We start from the raw sequence: 8,344 nt of genomic DNA, 5'->3' as shown, positions 1-8,344 counted from the left end.
TTTTCTATCATATGCTTCCACTAAAGATCAATTTGAGCCTGAATGTTAGTGTTCAAATATATTGCATTTCAGATGAGTTATAAGAATGAAAAGGCAGAATTCTTTATTACTAATAAAGATAATTCATTAGCTGCTGCAGGAAGAAACCATGCTATTTCCAAGGGACTGGGGGAGGAGAATAGAGGCAATTATCTATTAAATGTACTCTCTATAGAGGAGCAAATTAAACTAGTAAAGATAAGGGTGGAGTGTATCCTGAAGTTTCTTTAATCCATTTACAGTGTATGCCTGGCACTGGAGTACCTAATACACTAAATCTTCGAGTAATCTAATGCCCATTTTGCTCTTGGCTTCTAGCTCTGAAAGAAGAGTGGCAAACTAATTGTGAAAGCAACAGAGGCTTTTATGGTCTTCACAAAGCTTGGTGTATCCAAATGCAGATTAGTCTCAGGGATGCCATGTCAGTTAAGAGTAATCTATGGTCCTTTCAAAACTCTTGCTGGGTTTTGCCTAAGATTCGAAGCCTAAAGCTCTGAATTCTGACCTCCCTGATTACTGACTGAGGAAACAATATCCCCAAAATGGAAAGCTCCAGGTCTGTGTGCTTAGATTTAGGCTCCAAGGACTGAACACCCTGCATGTAAGGTGTGTGTCTAAGCAGTATTTATGACATAACAAACCAGCCAAGAGCTGGAGGTTCTGATCAGCAAATAAGGAAGGAACAACATCTGACATCTTTACCCACTTTAACTGTGAGTATATGAAATCTAGGCAACAAAATAAATAGAACAGAGACTGGAAGACGTGATGCTTCCTGGGAGAACATGTGCCCGTAAGGATCGATCTCATGGGATTCTTAGGCAGGTCTTGCTAACACAAAATCTGTGGGTGCAAACAATATGTATTCTATATTATATTATATATAGTCAGACCTCATTTTCCCACTGTATCTGGCATCAACACCCACCATCTATTTGAAGCACAAGTTTCTAATATTATATTTACAGGCAAAAAGTCAGGACCATCAAATGGCCTGCGTGCTAACTGCTGTACACACTAAGCAAAAACAGATTGAACTTTATCAATTTGCTGTTCGTAAAATGACTTCAAGATTCAAAGGTCTAAAGTTTTCTCTGGTGACCACACCTGAGGGTATCACACATTCAAAGCTTTTCCACGTGACTTTCTAACATTCTTGTCATTGTAGGATTAAAAATTGCACCACTGACTCAGGGAAATAACCTGGTTTTTTTCTTTTGCTCAGGAAAGTTCCCACAATAATCTCATCATGAGGCTCACTCGTTCTCACCTCCAGAGTTCTGGGGGGTAAAATAATACATAAATGCAAGGATTATCTTATATATACACCAAGGGAAAGGAAATACTGCCTATTAAGAATTAGCAGCTAACAGCTGGGCGCGGTGGCTCACACCTGTAATCCCAGCACTTTGGGAGGCCAAGGCAGGCGGATCACAAGATCAGGAGTTCGAGACCATGCTGGCTAACAAGGTGAAACCCCGTCTCTACTAAAAAAAAATACACACACAAAAAAAATTAGCCGGGCGTGGTGGCGGACGCCTGTAGTCCCAGCTACTTGGGAGTCTGAGGCAGGAGAATGGGATGAACCCAGGAGGCGGAGCTTGTAGTGAGCCGAGATCGAGCCACTGCACTCCAGCCTGGGCGACACAGAAAGACTCCGTCTCAAAAAAAAAAAAAAAAAAAAAAAAAAAAAGAGAGAATTAGCAGGTAACAGGCCAGGCACAATGACTCACATCTGTAATCCCAGCACTTTGGGAGGCCGAGGCAGGTGGATCACCTGAGGTCAGGAGTTCGAGACCAGCCATAGCGAAAACCTGTCTCTATTAAAAATACAAAAATAAGCCGGGCCTGGTGGCGGGCACCTGTAATCCCAACTACTTGGGAGTCTGAGGCACGAGAATTGCTTGAAACTGGGAGCCGGAGGTTGCAGTGAACCAAGATTGTGCCACTGTACTCCAGCCTGGGTGACAGAATGAGACTCTGTCTCAGAAAAAAAAAAAAAGAATTAGCGGCCAACAAATTAACCAGGAAAAGCTCCTATAAACTAACTCTCTGCAATCAGGAATTTCAGAGAAATGATAGAATGTAGAAAAAGACTAAAGTCCTAGGCTAGAGTAGGATATTGTAAGTCCAGACTCTAAGTCCAAATGGGATTTACACACTGTGGCATGTCTATAAAAGAGTTGGGTCTTCATGGCAGACTCCGAGTTGTCTGTTCTACCAATAGCTAAACTGACATGTCTGTCAAACCTGAGAAATCTTTGCCTAACCCAAGGTCACAGAATTTTTTTCTATGTTTAGTTCTAGAAGTGTTATTGTGTTGGTTGTATATTTAGGTCTATAACTTATTTTGAGTTAATTGTTGGGTATGGATTGAAGTTCAGGTTTATAAGCTTGCAACACTCCCTTATTGGTACCAGTAGCTTTTATGTAGGTTCAATTGGTCCAAAATGTGGAACATTGAAATTTCAGCTTCTGACAGATCTCTTTAGTCTCTCCTCTTTCTCTGGGAAGAAGAGCATCAGGGTAAACAAAGACTAAAACTGTCGGCAGATATTACCTTGGCTTCAAGGCAAGGACCAGGATTCCTCTGCTTTCTGTCTACCTGTGATAAACTCCTCTGGGCAGAGCCTCTTCTCAGGGAAAAGCCCTTCCATTGTTGCAAGACTTTGGTTAATTTCCAGAGTTTTGAAAAAAAATGATTTTGATAATTTTCACAAGTGTTAGATCTTCATTATACTTTAAAAGTTGAACATTATGATGTGTGAACTATAACTCAAAAAAGTTGTACTAAAATTAATTATATTTCTATATAGTAGCAATAATCAGAAACTAGAATGTTAAAATCAACGATATTTACGATGGCATAAAAAAGATGAAATAAGAATAAATTTAACAAAATATGTGAAAAATCTGTACAGTGAAAGCTTCAAATGTGACAGAGAAATTCAGGAAGATCTAATTTAATGGTGAGATATATCGTGTTCATGGTTTGGAAGAAATAGACTCACATACATTGACAACTGATTTTTAACAAAGATACCATGATAATTCAATGAAGAAAGTATAGTCTTTTCAGCAAGTGATGCTAGAACAATTTGATATTCATGAGCCAGAAAAAAAAACAAAACTGAAACTTCAATCCAAACACAAAAATTAACTCAAAAGTGTTCGTAGACCTAAATGTAAAACTAACACAATAGGACATCTAGAACTAAACGAAGAAGAAAATGTTTATGACCTTGTGTTAGGCAAAGATTCCTTACATATGACACCAAAAACATGATCCATAGATGGACAAATTAGTTAATTACATTTCATCAAAATTAAAAACTTCTGCCCTTTGAAAGACACTGTTAAAAGAATAAAAAAATAAGTCAGAGTGGGAGAAAATATTTGCTTTATTAGCTACTTGGTAAATCCAGCCTTACAGCTAGCAATTGGTAGAAGTTAGGGTTCAAATTAATGTATGGCTGACTCCAAAGCCCATGTTCTTCACCTTACTCAGACAAGGCTCCTTCTATAGCACTGAACCCTGTCCCTGCCCATGGTATATGCTTAATAGATGGTTGTTGTATGAATAACTACTAAATTAAATAGAAGGGAACTCAAGTGTACGTATATGATCTAAAAGAGTTTCATTAGAGGCCTTATAAACAATTAAATAATATATATTGAGAGAAAATACAAACAGATTACAATTTTTAATTCATACAAATTAAAAATTGAAAGAGAAACATATAAGATACAGTAAATCAAGAGGCATTCCAAGAGTAAGATCCTAGTGAACAGATCCGGGTAGGAGAATTATCACTTTTTTAATAGTGTGTGGTCTTCATGGGAGTCCCAGAATTTAAAGAACAGCTTCAAATAGGGAAACTAGCATTATCTAGGCATTTGACTTCACAGACATTAACAGCCACTTCACATTTACAAGACTGAGTTTGGGGTGATGCCTGGGGAAGAGTTAACTTAATGAATTGGCCTCAATTTAACATTTAAAAGAAATAGTATGCTTGTTTGTTATCCAATAGATGTTTAAGATTATAGACTAGTTAATTTCCAAGGTTAAATGAAATAGATTTTTTAAGGTCTTATGTTTCACATAGGGCAGCCAGCTTCTTTAAAATACATACACATTTCCAAATGGAAATCACTCTCACCAAAGCAAAAACCTTCACTAGGCAAGTTAACATTCAACTTGGGCAACTAAAGAGTGCAGGAAAACTTACTGAAATAAAATTGCTATTTTCTGGTTAAAACAATAACTTCCCTTTGTTTCCTCATAGATCATGAGGATTTAGCACATATTTTTGGCCTTGGAAGTCCTTCCCAGTGAGCTCTTGGCATTCCTTCATCTTAGCATCATAGATGCACTATATCACTATTATTTATTTTCAGTGCCTGTTCTCTATTTGGACTGCTATTTAATTTGTCTTTCCCTATCCAGCATCAAGCAAAGAACTTGTAATACGCTGAATGCTGCATAGAAGGTTTTGAAACTACTTACCTGCTGTGGAACACCTGTATAACTTTAAAATGCATCAATCAATCTCGAGAGTATGATCATGCTTCCTGCTTTTAAGGATCTGAAGTTAACTGCAACTCCAAGTATACAAGACTTCTTTGGGACCCATGGAAGCATCTCTACATGCTCATGTTTGCCAGATTCAGTGGCCTCCTGAAACCTGGCCCTAGCTAATAAGTTAAAAAGCTCTAAGTAATCCCGAGCTGCATTTGAATCTCCAAGATCACTTGTTCATGGGTTGGTAATACTTTAAAGAGCCATTTGTTTAACTGCTAATCTGGATCTTATATTCTGAGCCCCAGCTTTTTTCTAAAGCAAAGAAAATACAAAATAAAAGTAAGACCAAATGCCTTTGTACCATGGAGAGAGAAATGACTCATTGGAATGCTTCTGTTTTTCATCACATCAAAGATGCATCAACATAAATCAACCATTATATCATGCACCATGATAAAAAAGGGGGATAAAAGTCCCCAAACCACTGCCAATTAAACCAACACAGTGCCTTTGTATTATTCAGAATTTTTATCTTAGCCTTATTGAAAGAGCTTTTTTAGAACATATTTAAACAATTCTGTCATATTTCATTCTTGCATACTCATTAAAAAGGAAAATATGAGAGATACAAATGAAAGGTTTCCAAAAGTTTCCTCTCATTCAGAATCCAATTCTTCAGAATTATTTTGCAACCCAGACTCTTTGATGTCCTCGTTTTCCCACCAAATATGTTATCAAGAGCATGGTAGGGCAGAGTTTCTTAGAAGAAGGCAATGTTATTGTCATTGAACACTGGCACTCATCCTACAAGTTTTGATTTTGGCCTCTTTTTTTCTGTGGGGTGGGGGGCAGGGTCTCGCTCTGTTGCCCAGGCTGGAGTGCAGTGGCACAGTCATGGATCACTGCAGCCTTGGCCTCCTGGGCTCAAGTCGTCCTCCCACCTCAGCCTCCCAAGTAGCTGAGACCGCAAGTGTGTGCTATGTTTTTATTTTTTTACTTTTATTTTTTTAATTTTATTTATTTACTGTTTATTTATTTATTTATTTTTGAGACAGGGTCTCACTCTGTCACCCAGGCTGGAGTGCACTGGTGTGATCTGGGCTCACTGCAACCTCCACCTCCTGGGTTCAAGCATTTCTCCTGCCTCAACCTCCTGAGTAGCTGGGAGTACAGGATTGCACCACCATGCCCAGCTAATTTTTGTATTTCAGTAGAGACAGGATTTCACCATGTTGGCCAGGCTGGTCTCGAACTCCTAGCCTCAAGTGATCCGCGCACCTTGGACTCCCAAAGTTCTGGGATTACAGGCGTGAACCACCAGGCCCGCCCTAATTTTTTCATTTTTTTTATAGAAATGGGGTCTCACTGTGTTGCCTAAGCTGGTCTCAAATTCCTAGTCTCAAGTGATCCTCCCACCTCGGCCTCCCAAAGTCCTGGGATTACAGGTGTGAGCCATCACACCTAGCCATCTCTTCTTTGTCTTACCAGAAAGTGTTAGTGGAAAGTTTTTCAGGCAACAACCAATACTCTTATTATTTCCTGAAATGGTTCTCAAGTGGTCTATTGGCCCAAGCATTGAAGTGTGCAGGTGGTTTAGTCTTGCACCAGAATAGCAACGGACGACTGCATGTACAGGCAGAGCCAGCTAGGGTATGAGATAGTGATTGCAAGATGTGTCCCAATTTCAGAGAGGTAAAATACGGGTGGAAATGTCTGTGTTGGAGCCCTTGCTGGGATCTGCTGCTTTCTATTTGTGTCATCTTGGGCAGGAGAGCAAAAGTGTTTCCTGAATTTGGAGTGAGAAGAAAGCCACATTCTAATCCTGACCCTGTGACTCATTAGCTATGGGACTTTGGGCGAGGTGTTCAAGCTTCTACGGATTCAATTTCTCCATCTGTTAAATGAGGATAATGGAAATACAAAGTTATTGAAAATACCTTTGTAAGAAATTAATTCCAGATACCTAGCGAAAGTTCAGTGAATCTTAGGTATTATTATTCTTATTACTTAATGTCTTTGAATCTGAGCTCCCTCAAGTGTATTACAGGGAGAATAATAATAACATTTATCTTACTCTACCCACAGAATTATTCAATGAGTATCAAGTCAGCCAGAATTTTGAAATCACTATGTAAAGCACTAGGCAAATATATAATATTTCAAGGAATTACTATGACTTTGTCTTTGTTTCCATTGCTCTATCCATTATTACAAAAATTGGCTGTGTGATTAACACGCAAGAGTCAGAAAGAGATGAACTTCTGTACATGAGACCTACCTTGTCACCCTTCCAACCAAAATGGGCTAAATACTCACAAGTATCTTGGCAGAATGTTTTTATGGCTAACACAAATGGCTTTATTTGTAAAAGTGAATCATCATCTCGTACACTTGAAAGTTAGAATACAGTCTGCTTTAGAATATTAAAAACAGAATACAGGGATGCTTTCGCTCCCTTTTTACACTACACTGGCGTCAGAATATCAGGATAGTTTTAAAAAATATATTGCGGGGAATGGATAGTTACCTTGTTATTATTTGTCCATGTTAATGGTGTGTCTCTTCAAAAAATGATACAGGCTTTTTAGATTTTTACTTTCTATTCTGGTGCAAGAAATTAAATTTAAATATACTTTGACAAATCCTTTTTCTGTTTATTTCAGCTAGATAGGAATTTTGGAACCATTGTTGGGTCCATTGGAAAGGAAAATGTGTCCATTATGCCAGCTGAATGTTGGAGTTGATATTAACAATAATTTACTGTTTAAAGCAGAGAAAACAGAAATATAGGTGAATCACTAAGTCATTTGTGAAAAAATATGAACTAATCCATTGTTTTATTTATTTATTTATTTATTGAGACAGTCTCACTCTGTCACCCAGGCTAGAGTGCAGTAGCTAATCTCAGCTCACTGCAACCTCTGCCTCCCGGGTTCAAGTGATTCTCCTGCCTTAGCCTCCTGAGTAACTGGGATTACAGGCCCAGCTAGTTTTTGTATTTTGAGTAGACATGGGGTTTCGTCATGTTGGCCAGGCTGGTCTCGAACTCCTTTGGCCTCCCAAAGTGCTGGGATTACAGGCGCAAGCCACCATGCTGGGCCAATTGTGTTATATTTAAACATATATCCTAAAGTCTTAAACAAATAACTCAGAACATTAGTCTGAATTCTTCAGTTGCAAGCAAAGAAACCCATTCTAGTTAACTCGCAAAAAAAGAATTTGGGAAGCCTGTCGGGACTCACACACCTGAGGGGAAACTAGACCATCAGGTTGGATCTGAATCCACCAGGCAGCCTCGACAGCAGGAGCGCAGGCCCTGCACCTTGGCTGTAAGGCAATGAGAGAGAGCTCCAACCATGTGCCCACTCTCCAGCCCTCTGCACCATGATCCTGGCAGAATGTTTCCAACAACCTGAGTGGAAGTCACAAGTCTGTCAGGTGGTAATTTGGGAGCTAATGAGAGAAAGCCCTTATTTGGGGTGCTGGGCTTTAATTAGTGTTTTTGGAAATAAAGAGGTAGATCTGCTAGAATGAGTAGCCCAAATGAGGTCCCGGTCCCAGTCAAGACTCCTCCAAGTCTTTTTTTCTTTTCTTTTTTTTAGAAGGAGTCTCACTCTGCAGCCCAGGCTGGAGTGCTGTGGTTTGATCTCTGCATACTGCAGCCTCTGCCTCCTAGGCTCAGGTGATTCTCCTGCCTCAGCCTCTTGAGTAGCTGGGACTACAGGCACCCGCTACCATGCCTGGCTAATTTTCGTATTTTTAGTAGAGACAGGGTTTTGC

The 8,344-nt window shown here is 39.3% G+C and overlaps 1 long non-coding RNA gene across 6 annotated transcripts; it reads left to right on the top strand.

Moving 5' to 3' along the window:
- Nucleotides 1–692: 692 nt before the first annotated feature.
- On the top strand, nucleotides 693–5,196 carry LOC100506929 (uncharacterized). 6 transcript variants are annotated; one of them, NR_188405.1, is made up of 3 exons: nucleotides 693–752; nucleotides 1,265–1,509; nucleotides 4,490–5,196. It is a non-coding gene; the product is annotated as an uncharacterized LOC100506929 (long non-coding RNA). The 6 variants fall into 6 exon arrangements; NR_188401.1 differs by having other exon boundaries at nucleotides 693–832; NR_188404.1 differs by having other exon boundaries at nucleotides 693–860.
- Nucleotides 5,197–8,344: the final 3,148 nt, after the last annotated feature.

Source organism: Homo sapiens, chromosome 1, assembly GCF_000001405.40.
Source record: "Homo sapiens chromosome 1, GRCh38.p14 Primary Assembly".
NCBI lineage: Eukaryota > Metazoa > Chordata > Mammalia > Primates > Hominidae > Homo > Homo sapiens.
This window is presented reverse-complemented; position numbering and strand designations above follow the sequence as displayed.